Source organism: Homo sapiens, chromosome 12 (genome assembly GCF_000001405.40).
Source record: "Homo sapiens chromosome 12, GRCh38.p14 Primary Assembly".
NCBI classification, from domain to species: Eukaryota; Metazoa; Chordata; class Mammalia; order Primates; family Hominidae; genus Homo; species Homo sapiens.
In genome coordinates, this window is record NC_000012.12 from 29,258,813 (window position 1) to 29,277,319 (window position 18,507).

An 18,507-nucleotide genomic window follows, 5' to 3' on the forward strand; every position below is an offset into this window, starting at 1 on the left:
TGAAATTGAGAAGCTTAAGTTTTGTGAGAGCTGGGATTATGGATGCATTTATAGCACAGACACTGAAAAAAACTTGGTGAAAATGAAAAGTGGGAAGTTTCTCTCTTGAAAAATCTTCCTTCATCTCCACTTTGAATATTATCAAGATTTTCCATACGTGTAATTTGCTTGGGTCTATGTAATTAGTTATGAATGATTTATCATAAAGTAGAGATTGGTAGGAGGTCATGTTTGTACTTAGCTTCATAGGCAGAAATTTAAGTCTTGAATTTGGACTTGTTAAAGAATGTGCTGGTATGAAATGAAAATTAAAGAAGGTTCTAGAAAAATGGTTCATTGACAGAAGGAATTTTTCCCACTGGATCACCTTTAGCAAAGCCTGGAGAAATTTTTGGTCATCACGCCTGGCAGATAGGGTCAGGTGGGTGTAGTAATTTTTCGCATCTAATGAAGGAAGGCCGGGGATGCTGCTAAGCATCCTACGTTGCACTGGACAACCTTCACAACAGAGAATGATCTGGCCCAAAATGTCAATAGTGCCAAGATAAAAAATCCTTGGTCAAGAGTAACATTCCTGAGAGGAAAATCATCTTGTTTCTTTTCAAAAATGTTTCTCTCCAGTGGACTACGAAGACATTTGGATAAATTTGTCTTTCTTATGCGTTTGAATCTTAATTTTTTTATTTTCCATAAGAACCACCTAAAGAATAAAGTTCCCATATGCTGAAACCTGCAACAAATGTATAACCTAACACACCTATAATGATTTAATATTTTAACATTTGTTCTCTAGGAATTAGAACAGGCTCATTTTATCACCAAAAGGAGACAAAACTCTCTCTATTCATAACCATGGAAAATTGGTGATCTTTACACCAGAAGAGAAATGAAAAATCTAACCTGCATAAAGCCTGTTCATTGCTAACCCCCATGCCTAGACAGTGCCTGACACATGTAAGCATTCAGTAAAAATACGCAGACTCACTCTCTTTTTTCTTTTTTTCATTCAGCCATCCGATACCATACATTATATAGGATGCTTGGGTGTGTTAGTATTCTGGAGATTGTCAAAGTGACTTAGACTTCTCACAAACCATATCATGAGCATGAGGGGTAGGAAATTATCCTCTGCTCTCTGCATTAGTAGTCTGAGAAAATATGAAAGGAGGCCATGACCCAGTGAGCTGTTGTAAAGTAGAAGGGGGACCTTCTAGAGTTGCATATGTGCTATTATTGACTGTAAAACTATTTTAGTTTAAAAAATAATTAATGTAATTATTTTATTGAGTTATATTATGAGTTAACAATTCCTAGACTTAACAAAGTTGTAACATATGAAATTGGATTTCAGGGAGCCAAATTTTTGCCATTGAAAGTAATGGCAAACACTGCAATTATTTTTGTGCCAACTTGATATATAGGCTTTTCTGCAACGAGGAATCAAGCCATATCTTGAATGTGGAGGCAAGAGGTAGAAGAAACATCTCTGATGCAGCTTTGTCCTGAGGGGAGGAATTCCTTTTGACATTTTTCAGAATGACTTAAATTGATTAAAATCATGGACACAACTCCTCTGCCACCTCCTCATGACAATTGGGTAATGAGGGCCAGAAGATACTGGCTTATGTTTTGTTTTCCTGTCAAAGCACTCAGTGTACTCTGCCACAGGATTTATTGTGTTTGGGAAATATTTGGACTCTGGGCCTTAGGTGAGATTCAGAGCTGTGCTGGCTTCAGGTGTGACCCAGTGCATTTCTGGCTGTGACAGCTGTGGGGACAGACTCCTTCTGCTTGAGGACAGGGGAGTGAAGAGTAGGAAGGACTTTGTCTTGTGGCTTCAGTGCCAGCTCAGCCAATGTAGAAAAGAGCATCAAGTTAAATTCTTAAGGTTCCTGTCTCCAGGCCCTGGCTCCAGGAAGGCATCTGTGGACCTACCTGGGTCCAGGAAAAGCTCACCACCCTGAAGGGAGACAGGCTCAGTTTGTTTGGGGCAAAGTAAGGGAAGAAAACAAGAGTCTCTGCCTGGTAATCCAGGGAATTCTCTTGGATCTTACCCAAGGCCCCCAAGGCCACCAAGGCAGTACCTTCATGACTGTGCAACAGCCACAGTGTTGCTGGGTTTGGGGTACTCCCTAATGCAGTAAGGCTGCAGTGACAAAAGACATAGATCACAACACCTAGGTCCCTCTGAATACTTGGAAAGCCTTCCCAAGAAGGATTGATGCAAATGTGCCCAAACTGCAACTATTACAATAAATACCTGATGCTTAAACATCCAGATACCAAAGAACATCCACAAGCATCAAGACCACCCAGGAAAACATAACCTCACTAAACGAACTAAATAAGGCACCAGTGACCAATCCAAGGTAACACAGAGAAGGAATTTAGAATACTATCAGATACATTTAACAAAGAGATCGAAATAATTAAAGAATCAAGCAGAAATTCTGGAGCTGAAAAATGTAGTTGACATACTGAAGAATGCATCAGAGTCTCTTAACATGAGAGTTGATCCAGCAGAAGAAAGAACTAGAGAGCTTGAAGACAGTTTATTTGGAAATACACAGAGAAGACAAAAGATAAAAGAAGAAAAAAAGAATGAAGCATGCCTACAAGATCTCAAAAGAGCAAATGTAAGAGTCATTGGCCTTAAAGAGGAGGTAGAGAGAGATCAGGTAGAAAGTTTACTCAAAGGGATAATAACAGAGAAATTCCCAAACCTAAAGAAAGATACCAATATCCAAGTATAAGGAGGTTATAGAACACCAAGTAGCTTTAGCCCAAAGAAGATTATCTCAAGACATATAATAATCAAACTCCCAAAGGTCAAAGATAAAGGATCCTAAAAGCAGCAAGAGAAAAGAAACAAACAACATACAATGGAGTTCCAATACATCTGGTAGCAGGCTTTTCAGTGAAAACCTTACAGGCCAGGAAAGAGTGGCATGACATATTTCAAGTGCTGAAGAAAAAAATCTTTTACCCTAGAATAGAATATCTGGCAAAAATATTCTTCAAGCACAAAGGAGAAATAAAGACCTTCCCAGACAAACAAAAGCTGAGGGATTTCATCAACACCAGACCTGTCCTATAAAAATGCTAAAGGCAGTTCTTCAATCTGAGAGAAAAGGATGTTAATGAGCAAGAAGAAATCATCTGAAGGTACTGAAAGCTCACTGGTAATAAGTACACAAACACAGAATATTACAACACTGTAATTGTAGTGTGTAAACTACACTTAAGTAGAAAGACTAAATGATGAACCAATCACAAATAATAACTCCAACAATTTTTCAAGACATAGCCAATACAATAATACATAAAAAGAAAAAGTTAAAAAGTGGCAAGATGAAGTTAAAGTGTAGAGTTTTTATTAGTTTTCTTTTTGTGTGTTTTTTTTTGTTTATGCAATCAGTGTTAAGTTGTCATGGGTTTAAAATAATGGGTTATAAGATAGCATTTGCAAGCCTCACATTAACTGCAAATTGAAAAACATACAATGGATACCTTAAAAATAAAAAGCAAGAAATTAAGGCTTGGCGTGGTGGCTCATGCCTGTAATCCCAGCACTTTGAGAGACCCAGGCAGGCAGATCACCTGAGATCAGGAGTTCGAGACCAGCCTGACCAACATAGATAAACCCCGTTTCTACTAAAAATACAAAATTAGTCAGGCATGGTGGCGCACGCCTGTAATCCCAGCTACTCAGGAGGCTGAGACAAGAGAATCACTTGAACCCGGGAAGCAGAGGTTGTGGTGAGCCAAGATTGTGCCACTGCACACCAGCCTGGGCAACAAGAGCAAAATTCCATCTTCAAAAAATAAGTAAGTAAATAAATAAATAAATAAAGCAAGAAATTAAATCATACAACCAGAGAAAACCACCTTCACTAAAAGGAAGACAGGAAGGAAGGAAGGAAGAGAAGACCACAAAACAACCAGAAACTAAATAACAAAATGGCAGAGGGAAGTCATTACTTATCAATAATAACATTGAATGTAAATGGACTATGCTCTCTAATCAAAAGTTATAGAGTGACTGAATGGGTGAAAAAACAAGACCTCATGATCTGTTGCCTACAATAAACACACTTCACCTATAAAGATACACATAAACTGAAAATAAAGGGATGGAAAAAGATATTTCATGCTAATGGAAACCAAAAAATAACACTTATAGCTATATTTATACCAGACAAAATAGATTTCAAGACAAAAACTATGAGAAGAGACAAAGAATGTCATTATATAATGATAAAGATGTTGAACCAGCAATAGGATATAATAATTGTAAATATATATGCACCCAACACTGGAGCCCCCCAGATATATAAAGCAAATATTATTAGAGCTAAAGAGAAATATAGCCCTCAATACAATAATAGCAGAGGCTTCAACACCCCACCTTCAGCATTGGACAGACCTCTCAGACAGAAACTCAATAAAGAAACATTGAACTTAATCTGCACTGTAGATCAAATAGTCCTAATAGATATTTACAGAACACTTCATCCAACAGCTACAGAATACACATTCTTCTCCTCAGAACATGGATCATTCTCAAGGATAGACCATATATTAGGTCACAAAACAGGTCTTAAAACATTTTAAAAAATGGAAATAATATCAAGCATCTTCTCTGGCCACAATGGAGTAAAAGTAGAAGTCAACAACAAGACCAATTTTGGAAACTATACAAACACATAGAAATTAAACAATATGCTCCTGAATGACCAGTGGGTCAATGAAGAAATTGAAAATTTACATGAAACAAATGAAAATGGAAACACAGCATACCGAAACCTATGGGATACAGTGAAAGCTGGACTGAGAGAAATTTATTCTTGGTAGGTTGTACATTCCTAAACATGTACAACGTACTAAGAATAAATTTCTCTCAGTCCAGCTGAGAGAACTGGTTCAATCCAGTAGATTGAGCCATGAACAAATTCAAAACCTGCATAGACCAATAACAAGTAATGAGGCCAAAGCCACATTAAAAACTCTCCCAGCAAAGAAAAGCTCATTATTTGATGGCTTCACTGCTGAATTTTACCAGACATCTAAAGAAGAACAAATACTAATCCTACTCAAAGTATTCCAAAAAATAGAGGAGGAAGGAATACTTCCAAACTCATTTTATAATACCAGTATTACCCTGATACCAAAACCAGATAAAGACACATCAAAGGAATAAAAGGAAAGTAGGAAAACTATATGCCAATATCCCTGATGAACACTGAGGCAAAAATCCCCAACAAAATACTAGCAAACTGAAATCAAGAACACATTAAAAAGATCATTCACCATGATCACATGGAATTTATCCAAGGGAGGCAAGGATGGCTCAACATGTGCAAATCAGTCAATATGATACATCATACCAACAGAATGAAGGACAAAAACCATATGATCATTTCAGTTAATGCTGAAAAAAGCATTTGATAAAATTCAACATCCCTTTGTGATAAAAACACTCAAAAAACTGGGTATAGAAGGAACATACCTCAACACAATAAAGGCTGTATATGAGACCCACAGCTAGTATCATACTGAATGGGGAAAAACGAAAAGCCTTTCCTCTAAGATCTGGAACACAACAAGGATGACCACTGTCACCAATGTTATTCAACATAGTACTGAAAGTCCTAACTAGAGTAATCAGACAAGAGAAATAGGCCAGGTGCATTGGCTCTTGCCTGTAATCCTAGCACTTTGGGAGGTCAAGGTGGGAGCATTGCTTGACCTCAGCAGTTTGAGACCAGTGTGCAGTGTGGGCAACATAGTGGGATCCTGTCTCAAAATAAATAAATAAATAAATAAATAAATAAATAAATAAATAAAGGAGAGAGAGAGAGAGGAGGAGAGGGAGAGGGAGAAAGAGAGAAAAGGCAGCTAAATTGGAAAGGAAGAAGTTAAATCAGCCTTGTTTGCATATGATATGATCTTATATCTTGAAAAGCTAAACACTCCACCAAGAAACTGTTAGAACTGATAAACAAATTCAGTAAAGTTGCAAGATACCAAGTCAACATATAAAAATCAGTAGTATTTCTATATGCCCACAGTGGACACTCTGAAAAAGAAGTCCAGAAGGTAATCCCATTTACAGTAGCTACAAATAAAAAATTAAATACCTACAAATTAACCAATGAAATAAAAGATCTCTACAATAAAACCTATAAAACATTGATGGAAGAAATTGACAAGAACACACACAAAAATGGAAAGATATTCCATGTTCATGTGTTGGAAGAGTCAATATTGTTAAAATGCCTATACTATGCAAAGCAATCTACAGATTCAATGCCATCCTTATCAAAATACCAATGACATTTCTCACAGAAATAGAAAAAGTAACCCTAAAATTTATATGGAACCACAAAAGACCCAGATCTGCCAAAGCTATCCTGGGCAAAAAGAATAAAACTGGAGGAATCACATTGCCTGACTTCAAATTATACTACAGAACTACTGTAAGCAACACAACATGCTACTGGCATAAAAACTGAAACATAGACCAGTAGAACAGAGCAGAGAATCTAGAAACAAATCCACACACCTACAGTAAATTCATTTTTGGCAAAGGTGCCGAGAACATACATTGGGGAAAGGACAATCTCTTCTATAAATGGTGCTAGGAAAACTGGATATCTATATGCAGAAGAATGAAACTAGACCCCTATCTCTTGCCATTTGCAAAAATCAAAACAAATTGGATTAAAAACTTAAATATAAGATCTCGAACTATGAAACTACTGTAAGAAAACATCAGGGAAAGTCTCCAGTACATGGGTCTGGGCAAAGATTTCTTGAGTAATACCCACAAACAGAAGCAAAAATGCACAAATGGGATTACAAGTTTAAATGCTTCTGTACAGCAAAGGAAACAAACAACAAAGTAAAGAGGCCACCCACAGAATGAGAGAAAATATTTGTAAACTATCCATCTGACAAGGGATTAAGAACCAGAATATATAAGGAACACAAACAAGTCTATAGAACAAAATCTAATAATCCTACTTAAAAATGGGTAAAAGATCAGAATAGACATTTCCCAAAAGAAGACATACAAATGGACAACAGGTTTATGAAAAGGTGCTCAACATCACTGATCATTAGAGAAATGCAAATCAAAACTACAGTGAGATATTATCTCACTCCAGTTAAAATGGCTTTTATCCAAAGACAGGCAATAACAAATGCTGATGAGGATGTGGATAAAAATGAACCCTCATATACTGTTGGTAGGCATGTACATTAGTACAATCACTACAGATAACAGTTTGGAGGTTCCTCAAAAAACAAAAAATGTAACATATCCAGCAATCCCACAGCTAGGTATATACCCCGATGAAAGGAAATCAGTGTATCAAAGAGATATCTGCACTCCCATATTTATTGCAGTGTTAATCACAATAGCCAAGATTTGAAAACAATCCAAGTGTCCATCAATAGATGAATGGATAAAGAAAATGTGGTAAATATACACAATGGAGTACTATTCAGCCATAAAAAGAATGAGATCCTGTTATTTGCAACAATATAGATGGAGGACATTATATTAAGTGAAGTAAACCAGGTACAGAAAGACAAACTTGACATGTTCTCACTTATTTGTAGGAACTAAAAATTAAAACAATTGAACTCATGGACAAAGAGAATAAAAGGATGGTTAGCAGTGGCTGAGAGGGATAGTGTTGAAGGGAGTGGGTAATGGGAACAAAAATACAATTAAGCAGAATGAATAGGATCTAGTATTTGATATCAAAACAGGGTGACTAAGTCAACAATAATTTATTGCAATTTTAAAAATAACTGAAAGAATATAATTGGGTTGTTTGTAACACAAAGAATGGATAAATGCTTGAGGTGATGGGTACTCCACTTACTCTAATGTGATTATTACACATTGCATGCCTGTATCAAAATATCTCATGTGCCTTATAAATATATATACCTACTATGTACCAGCAAAAATGTAAACACTACAGGCTCATTGATATATCTTACTTTAGAAAGAAATCTCTAAAATTTTAGATCATACCTTGCAAAACTGTGTCTGGGGTCAAAATATCCTAACAGTATATTTGCATTTCTAGAAAATATGACTCCACTAGAGTGTATGATAAGAGAAGCATGTGACATCTTCAGAACAAATGGGGTTGGGAAGTCACCCTCTCCAAACTCAACTTTCCTTCTGTTTTTGTGCCAACCACATTTATTTATGCCTAATATCCTATTAAAGAAGTAGGGTACCTCAACATTTTTAAAGAAATAGGCAAAATTTATCATGAAGTATAGTTATATTTGGTGAAAATACTTGGCTGTTATGATTTATTGAGTGTTAAATTGTCTCCTTTTATTTACAAAAGAAAATGGGTATACAAAATGTACGAGACAGGACATTTAAAATAAATGCCAAAAAGAAAAGCTAGAAACCATTAAGAAGAAAAAATGTAAAACCAGTGACTATGCTAATAGCCAATATTTGAGTCTATGCTATAGGCAATGTATATTGCTAAGAGTTTTGCATGTATTCACTCATTCCATCCTTACCACAGCACTATTAAGTGGATACTTTTGTTTTCTACATTTTCCTGATAAGTAACTGAGGCACAGAGAGATTAGTAATTTCCTGAGGTCACACAGCTAATAAGTGGTAGAACTGGGATTTTACTTCAAACAGTCTTGCTTAGAACTTGAATGCTAATCTTGGGTGCTATTCTGCCCTCCTAACTTGGGGACACTACTTTTCTGAGCTCCAAAGCAGGCAAGGCAAGAATGTTTAATACTGTTTCCAAGTGCTAAATTCTTGAGGAAGTCACTGGGTGAATTGTAATATACTCATGTAACATTATGTAACATGACAAAAACAAGATCCAAAAGTGTTCTTCATAGTATTTCTCTTATCCACCCTCAACAAAGGGAGCTCAAACAGTAACTCAGTGAACACAGCTAATGTGATTTGAAATCCAGATTTCCTAAAATGAATAGCATTGATGATTGGGTGTGATTTCTGTCATTGACCCCTGTTTTACTTACTTCATAGCATGTGCAGCAGTCTATGATCTTGTTTATATGTTTATTTGACTTTGCATTGCTGGCCTCCCCTGCTAGAGTGACAGCAAGGAACAGTCTGCTTTGTTCATCTGCGTGTCTTCAGAACTTAGCATAGAGTCTGGAATGGTAGGTGCTGAAAAATTTTTTTAGTAAATAATTCCCCAAAGGCAAAGAATTCTGTCTAAGAACATGGACTCAAGATCTTCAAATATAAATTATGACTACGAAGAGTCATTGTTGCTTAAGGAGTTACTAGCAGAGCATTCTGGACCAGAGTTGGAGAGCAGGGTGTTGACACTTCTAGTTGTTTTTTTCTTCTTTATAAGCCCTGATGTCAGGGCCAGTCCCTGGAGCTGTTCTGCAGGATCCATCCAAACCCTGTCCACATAGGCAGTTGAGGCCTTTCTACAGTTGACAAAGTGAGTGGACAGAAAGGAAGATCTTCCCCACACCTCCAGCACTGTTTAGTTCAAAGCTCTCTGCTGCTGTCTCCAATCAATTATCTCCAACCAGAACTGAAAGACAAAACACTTCATGGTGCGTTTCTGCAGCAAGAGTTGCATCTGGCTTCCTGCTACCAGATTCATTTTTTCTCAGCACTTCTGGAAACACAGGACTTATGTGGACAAACCAAGCCTTGCATTGCAGCCCAAGCTATTTCAGGGCACACCAAAACCTGTGGTCGGTGGCCTCCCTTTTCAGCCTCCTCTACCTTTGCTTTTCAGTGTCTCTACCCCCTGAGCAGCATATAAGGGGGAAAAAGGTGGCACTTGACCTAGACACATTTTCAACTCAAGGAAGAGATTAACAAAACTATATTATTTATTGGGGAACCTGCCCCGTAGGTTCTTTTCTATTTTCCTTAAGCATCAGCCAGCTTGAGAAATAAAGGGACAGAGTACAAAAGAGAGAAATTTTAAAGCTGGGCATCCGGGGGAGACATCACATGTCGGTAGGTTCCATGATGCCCCACAAGCCGCAAAAACCAGCAAGTTTTTATTAGGGATTTTCAAAAGGGGAGGGAGTGTGCAAATAGGTGTGGGTCACAGACATCAAGTCCTTTACAAGGTAATAGAATATCACAAGGCAAGTGGAGGCAGGGCAAGATCTCAGGACCACAGGACCAAGGTGAAATTAAAATTTCTAATGAAGTTTCGGGCACCATTGTCATTGATAACATCTTATCAGGAGACAGGATTTTGACAGCAACCGGTCTGACCAAAATTATTAGGCGGGAATTTCCTCTTCCTAATAAGCCTGGGAGTGCTATAGGAGACTGGGGTCTATTTCACCCCTAGAGTCTTGACCATAAAAGACAGGTGCACCTTGGGGGGGCCGTTCATAGGCCTATACCTCCAGGCGCGTATTCTCCTTCTCAGGGATGTTCTTTGCTGAGAAAAAGAATTCAGCAATATTTCTCCCATTTGCTTTTGAAAGAAGAGAAATATGGCTCTGTTCCTCCCAGCTCACTGGCAGTCAGAGTTTAAGGTTATTTCTCTTATTCCCTGAACAATTTCTGTTATCCTGTTCTTTTTTCAAGGTGCCTAGATTTCATATTGCTCAAACACACATGCTGTACAATTTGTGCAGTTAATGCAATTATTACAGGGTCCTGAGGCGACATACATCCTCCTCAGCTGACAGGATTAAGAGATTAAAGTAAAGACAGGCATAGGAAATCACCAGGGTATTGACTGGGGAAGTGATAAGTGTCCATGAAATCTTTACAATTTATGTTTAGAGATTGCAGTAAAGACAGGCATAATAAATTATAAAAGTATTAATTTGAGAAACTAATAAATGTCTATGAAATCTTCACAATCCACGTTCTTCTGCCATGGCTTCAGCCGGTCCCTCTGTTTAAGGTCCTTGACTTCCCGCAACAATTATTTATTCCAGTATTTTCTCTAAATAAATCTGAAACTCAAACTCTAATTACATCATAATTTTAAAAAACCTGATAGCTGTTCTAAGCTTTGGTTTCACAAACTGCTGGGCCAGTCCTAACCTTCTCATTTATGTCCTGTAACACTGCATCCCTTTATTTCCCCTAAGCACGCTGTGCCACACCACTGCACCTTTGCCCTTGCTCTTTCCTTGGCCTGGGACACCATGACCCCAGCCCTTCTCTGCCTTCCAAGCTTCAGCTCAGATGTCACAGACACTTTGAAATTTCCAGATGCTTCTATGTACCCCTCTCAGGTCTCCCTTTGTTTTAGCACTTACTATATTGTATTTAACAGTCTCTTTATTGTCTGCCTCCTCCATTAGACTGCAAGCAATTCCTTGAAAGCAGGAATCATGTCTTTCTCATTTCTTGCTCACAGTTCCTGGCATAAAGTCTAGCATGTAGAGAGAACTCAATAAATATTGATTGGAATGAGTCGTATTGCTTAAAAGCCACGATGCTCTCACTGTCTGACCTATTTTTTTCTGCATTCAAAGCTCTTGGAAGCAACAGAAACATTTTAAGTGACTTTGAATATGAGAACTTCTGAAGATGTAATCTTTTGTTATTTCTCTTCCTTTTCAGGAACCTCTTTCAGGAGCTATAAAAGAAAGGGAGGAATCATGTCCACAATTGCAGCTTTCTATGGCGGCAAGTCCATTCTCATCACGGGGGCCACAGGCTTTCTGGGCAAAGTGCTGATGGAGAAGCTGTTTCGCACCAGCCCAGACCTGAAAGTCATTTACATCCTTGTGAGGCCCAAGGCTGGCCAGACACTGCAGCAGAGGGTTTTCCAGATCCTAGACAGTAAGGTATGCCTTATAGGAAAGCGTGTGTGATGGGCAATGCCTTAGGGCAAGATGATTCACTACAATGTTCTCTTATAGTCTCATATTGCAAGTGGGGACCAGGCTACCTGCACAGGTAGAGGAAGGCAGACAAAACAAGACAGCAACAAGCTGCTGGTGGAAATCGGTGTTTTCCCAAAGGAGGGAAAAGAGTGCTTAGTTTCAGTCCAGGGCAGGTGAGATTGTCTATGTCTGGAAACTACTAATTATCAAAATACTCAAACTCCCTGAGTGGATGCTTCAGCCTTAATATCTGCTGCAAGTTCATCTGAATTCTTCACTAATTTTCTTTTAAATTTAAGGTTGATTTCCTCCCCAAATTTTTTGGATATTCTTCTATTCTGTTCTATTCTATTGCTTAGGGAGCAGATGTGACTACTAAGTAGCCATGCAGTGATACTTTCAGTTGTCTAAACTCTACAAGGTTTAGCTGTTATATATTTTATTTATGGGAACTTTTGATATTTCTATTATCCAATAAGTTCTTCTAAGGTAAAAACATTGGAAATAAAATATTACATCTGTGAATGAGCATTTGGATATCAAACCCTCTCTCCTCTCGGAAAAAAAAGACATTATGCATATTCTCTCATGTTTTAATTTATAAATTTCAAGGCAGTATAACCTTGGGTCTCAAACATATCTGGGTTCAAATTCTGGCTTATGAATTTGTTGTCATATCACCTCTTAACCTTCAGATTTTAGATTTTCAAACTTTCCAATGTTTTAAATAAAAACAACAACTAATTTCATAGGAACTAAATGAGAAAATGTACATATGTTGTTCATAATGCACTTTGGAATATAGGGGGTGACATAAGATTGGCAATAAGAAAATTCAGAGTTCCTTTTTTTACAATCTCCTTTCCAGTGTGTAGGAATGTTAACATCTATGATGCACATGTATCTGTTAGCACAGCACATTGTAGACTGCCCAGAAACACTGATGATCAAATTTATCTGCTTGCAACAGAATACGATTTTGTTACAAACCATCATCAAGCAAATTGGAAAAGCCTCACATCTCATGGCTTGACTCAGCAGTGGGACAAAATAATCCTAACAGCTAACATTTACTGGATACTTAGTACATGGCACCTACTATCCAAAGGTCTTTTCACACCTTACTTCATGTATCTTTGCAATAACCCTGTGAAGTAAGAACCATTACTATTCTCATTTTATAGATGGGGAAACTGAGGCCTGAAGCTTTAACTTACCAAAGGTCTTCTACCTAGTAGAGGAAAAATTGGATTTCCAACCCTACAGCCTGACTCTAAGGCCAGCACACTTGCTCCTGCCCCACACTGCCTTCGGGATAACTAATGGTTCTTAAAAGGCTGATATGACATAGAACCAAAACCTAGAATAAATTCCCAGATCCCTCTTCAGGCAGTTTTTCTCAGTTATCTACCCCTAATGCACTTTGTTTTCTTGGGGTTGATCTTCTCATGGAGTATCTTAATGGTGTTCTCTGTTTTTCCTGAATTTGCGTGTTGGCCTGTCTTGCTAGGTTGGGGAGGTTTTCCTGGATAATATCCTAAAATGTGTTTTCCAGCTTGTTTCCATTCTCCCCGTCTCCTTCTGGTACTGCAATCAATTGTAGGTTTGGTCTTTTTATGAAGTCCCATATTTCTTGGAGGCTTTGTTCATTCCTTTTCATTCCTTTTTCTCTATTCTTGTCGGCATCTTATTTCAGTAAGGTGGTCTTTAAACTCTGATATCCTTTCTTCCACTCAGTTGATTCAGCTGCTGATAACTGTGTATGCCTTACGACATTGTTGTGCTGTGTTTTTCAGCACCATCTGGTCCTTCACGTTCCTCTCTAAACTGGTTATTCTAGTTAGCAATTCCTCTAACTTTTTATCAAGATTCTTAGCTTCTTTGCTTTAGGTTAGAACATGCTCCTTTAGCTCATCATAGTTTTATATTACTCATCTTCTGAAGCCTACTTCTGTCAATTTGTCCATCTGATCCTCCGTCCAGTTCTGCATCCTTGATGGAGAGATGTTGTGATCATTTGGAGGAGAAGAGGCACTCTGGCCTTTTGGGTTTTTGGCATTTTTTCCATTGATTCTTTCTTATCTTTGTGAGTTTGTCTAGTTTCAGTCTTTGAGGCTGCTGACCCTTGGATAGGGTTTTTGTGTGGGCCTTTTTGTTGTTGTTGTTCTTGATGTTGTTGTCGCTTTCTGCTTGTTTTTCTTTCAATGGTCAGGTTCCTCTTCTGCAGGGCTGCTGCAGTTTGCTGGGCATTCGCTTCAGGCCTTATTCATCTGATTTTCTGCTGTGCCTGGAGATGTCACTCAAAGAGGCTGGAGAGCAGCAAAGATGGGTCCCTGCTCCTTCTCCTGGGACCTCTGACCTCGAGGGGCACCAGCCTGATGCCAGTAGGATTGCTCCTGTATAGAGTGTCTGACAACCCCTGTAGGAAGGTCTCACCCTGTTGTGGCATTGGGAGTAGGACCGTTTAACGAACCACTTTGTCCCTTGGTGGAGAGGGTGTGTTTCACTGGGGGGAAACCCACTTGTCTGGGTTGCCCTGATTCCTCAGAACTACCAGGAGGAGAGGCTAAGTCTGCTGGTCCACAGAGACTGCAGCCACCTCTCCCCTTAGGGGCTCAGGACCAGGGAGATCAGAATTCTGTTCCTAAGCCTCTGGCTAGAGTTATTGGAGATCCTGCAGGGAAGCCCCTCCCCCACCAACGAGGAAGGATGGGTGGGGGTTAGGCCTGAAGAGGCACTCTGGCCGCAGACTGCCACAGTGTGTGTGTGGCTGCCACGGTGTGTAGGGCTGTGGGGACAAGTCTTGGGACCAAGCCATCCAGCCTTCCTGGCACTAGCAGGGGAAAAGCACAGCCTGGAGCTATAGAAATGGGTGCCACCCTTCCCCTGCCCAGGGAGCTTAGCCTGTTAGGCAGTTGCCAGTCCCAGTGCTGGCTGCTGCCCCTCCCCCAAGGAGCTCAAATGGCTTAGACAGCAGGTGATGGCAGCCAGGGCTCGTCGCCCCTCTGCCCCCAGGAGTTCAGTAGGCTTAAGCAGATTTTAGCTGAGAGGCTGTAAGAATCTGCACTTTCTCAGGTTGGGATGGTAGGCCCTGGTGGCCTGGGTTCCGGAGTGGGCTCTTCTGACCCATAGGTTGCACTGTTCCATGGAAAAAGCAGTTCCCCGGGCCGGGTAGCATGCTCACTCACCACCTCCCTTGGCTGGGGAGAGGGGACTCCCCTTCGCCGTGTGGCTCTCAGGTGGGCCACCGCACCACACTGCTCTTCCTTCTCTTGGTGGGTCACACCAGCCTTCTAGTCAATTTTGATGAGAGAACCTGGATAACTCTGTTGCTGGCGAAGGATTCACACGGTTATTGTGTTTGTTTTTCTTTTTCTTTTTTTTAATTATACTTTAAGTTTTAGGGTACGTGTGTGCAGGTTTGTTACATATGTATACGTGTGCCATGTTGGTGTGCTGCACCCATTAACTCGTCATTTAACATTAGGTATATCTCCTAATGCTATCCCTCCCCCCTCCCCCCACCCCACAACAGGCCCCGGTATGTGATGTTCCCCTTCCTGTGTCCATGTGTTCTCATTGTTCAGTTCCCACCTCTGAGTGAGAACATGTGGTGTTTGGTTTTTTGTCCTTGTGATAGTTTGCTGAGAATGATGGTTTCCAGCTTCATCCGTGTCCCTACAAAGGACATGAACTCATCATTTTTTATGGCTGCCTAGTATTCCATGATGTATATGTGCCACATTTTCTTAATCCAGTCTATCATTATTGGACATTTGGGTTGGTTCCAAGTCTTTGCTATTGTGAATAGTGCCGCAATAAACATACATGTGCATGTGTCTTTATAGCAGCATGACTTATAATCCTTTGGGTATTGTCAGGCCTCTGAGCCCAAGCTAAGCCATCATATCCCCTGTGACCTGCACGTACACATCCAGCTGGCCGGTTCCTGCCTTAACTGATGACATTCCACCACAAAAGATGTGAAAATGGCCTGTTCCTGCCTTAACTGATGACATTGTCTTGTGAAATTCCTTCTCCTGGCTCATTCTGGCTCAAAATCTCCGCCACTGAGTACCTTGTGACCCCCACTCCTGCCCGCCAGAGAACAATCCCCCTTTTTCCTTTACCTACCCAAATCCTATAAAACGGCCCCCACCCCTATCTCCCTTCGCTGACTCTCTTTTCGGACTCAGCCCGCCTGCACCCAGGTGAAATAAACAGCCTTGTTGCTCACACAAAGCCTGTTTGGTGGTCTCCTCAAATGGACGCGCATGAAATTTGGTGCCGTGACTCGGATCGGGGGACCTCCCTGGGAGATCAATCCCGTCCTCCTGCTCTTTGCTCCATGAGAAAGATCCACCTATGACCTCAGGTTGGCACCAAATTTCATGCGCGTCCATGTGAAGAGACCACCAAACAGGCTTTGTGTGAGCAATAAAGCTTTTAATCATCTGGGTGCAGGCGGGCTGAGTCCGAAAAGAGAGTCAGCGAAGGGAGACAGGGGTGGGGCCGTTTTATAGGATTTGGGTAGGTAAAGGAAAAAGGTGGGTTGTTCTCTGGCAGGCAGGAGTGGGGGTCACAAGGTACTCAATGGGGGAGCTTTTGAGCCAGGATGAGCCAGGAGAAGGAATTTCACAAGACGATGTCATCAGTTAAGGCAGGAACAGGCCATTTTCACTTCTTTTGTGGTGGAATGTCATCAGTTAAGGCAGGAACCGGCCATCTGGATGTGTACGTGCAGGTCACTGGGGATATGATGGCCTAGCTTGGGGTCAGAGGCCTGACAGGTATATACCCAGTAATGGGATGGCTGGGTCAAATGGTATTTCTAGTTCTAGATCCCTGAGGAATCGCCACACTGACTTCCACAATGGTTGAACTAGTTTACAGTCCCACCAACAGTGTAAAAGTGTTATGTTTGTTTTTCGATGGGAGCCTCCAATCACCCCTGCTTCTAGTAGGCCATCTTGGTCGCACCTCTGGACTTTGTTTTCCTCACATAGTAGACGTTTCGTGTTAGTCTGGGAGCTTTGTTGCCAACTATGCATTTCTAGATAAATATTGTGGCAGAGAGTCTTGTGGTCAACCCAATCTTTACCTACTGCTTCTTTCAATGCAGTGTTTTTTATAACACGGCAACATTGCTTTTGTTCTGGAAATCGTGATTATACTCTATGTAACTTATCTGTGAAACTGCCTTGCAAATCTCAGCACCTGTTTTCACTATTGGGCTATTTACTGTCAGCTGTTGACTTTTATGAACAGTGGTTCTCAAAGTGTGGTCCCAATATCAGCAGCATTCAAGATCACCTGAGAACTATCTGTTGTGATCAGATGGTACTTAACAGCCTGGGCTTCAGAGGCAGACAGACCTGGGTGTGAATCTCCATACGACCAATTGTGAGTTGTGTGATAGTGGACTAGATATATACTTTGCTGAGCCTTGGTTTCTTTATCTGTAAAATGCTGTAATAATACCTTGCTTACCCAGGGAGTCTCTGCGTCTTTCTCTCTTGCCCTCAAGCCTTTCTGGATTTAAGGTATGGCTTTTACCACTATTTCCTAGGGCCTCACTTTTTACTAAGTTAGGCTGTATACTAAGTTATGCCAAAAAAAGAAGTGTTTTTTTTCCCATAAATTTTTCCCTCAAAGAGTTGTGGGAGGAAGGGAATCTGATGTGTATAATATAGTTGAAAAACACATCTACGGTAGATCACAAACCATGTCTACATGGCCATTTTGTGGGTAACAAGAACAGATTCTATCACCTGATTATTAATGCACAAGCCATTAGCTATGCAAATATCTACTTTCTTGTCACTATATGGAATCTGATACCTGTAAAGAGATTTTCCATGGAAAAAAATATGTGCTTGATTTTATTGCTGCGTATCCCAAAACTGAAAAGTTTTTGCTACAAAATTGTGTATGCTTCAGAATATAAGAATGCTATCGCTGATTGGCTGTGGATAAAGCTCTGTGCAAATAAGGAATTATGCAAGAAGTAGTTACTGGCCATCTATGAGATTCAAGATATTATTGCTTGTATTCCCTTTGAAATTGAAAATTCAAAATAAAGACAAGACAGATAAAATTGTATTTTTTTATATTTTTTAAGTTATGGGGATGAGCTATGTTTGAAAGGTGAAAGAAACCTCTAGATTTTATATATATATATATGTAAAATCTCTAGATTATATATATATATGTGTGTGTATGTGCCACTGCACTCCAGCCTGGGCAACAGAGTGAAACTCTGTCTCAAAAAAAAAAATAGATAAAATACGTTTTTTATAAAATATTTATTTATTTTGAGACGGAGTCTCACTCTGTCACCCAGCTGCTAGAGTGCAGTGGCTCTATCTCAGCTCACTGCAACCTCTGCCACCTGGGTTCAAGCGATTCTCCTGCCTCAGCCTCCCGAGTAGCTGGGATTACAGGCATCTGCCACCGCGCCTGGCTAATTTTTGTAGTTTTAGTAGAGACGGGGTTTCACCATCGTGGCCAGGCTGGTCTTGAACTCCTGACCTCGTGATCCACCCACCTCAGCCTCCCAAAGTGCTGGGATTACAGGCATGAGCCATCACGCCTGGCCATAAAATAGTTTTAATGCATAGCTGACCTTGAGGCAAAATAAGG

General features: G+C 40.0%; 1 protein-coding gene across 5 annotated transcripts in view; it reads left to right on the forward strand.

The window, feature by feature from the left end:
* Positions 1-18,507, forward strand: part of FAR2 (fatty acyl-CoA reductase 2) — a 186,339-nt gene that overhangs the window by 109,535 nt on the left and 58,297 nt on the right. For 4 of the 5 annotated variants that reach the window (NM_001271783.2, XM_011520748.4, XM_011520747.3 and 1 more), the window contains exon 2: positions 11,600-11,826. The exons of the other annotated variant lie outside the window; for it this stretch is intronic. In NM_001271783.2, coding sequence (NP_001258712.1) covers positions 11,638-11,826 — 189 coding nt within the window. In that variant the 5' untranslated portion in view covers positions 11,600-11,637. The remainder of the gene's footprint in view (positions 1-11,599; positions 11,827-18,507) is intronic. 5 annotated transcript variants of the gene reach the window in all.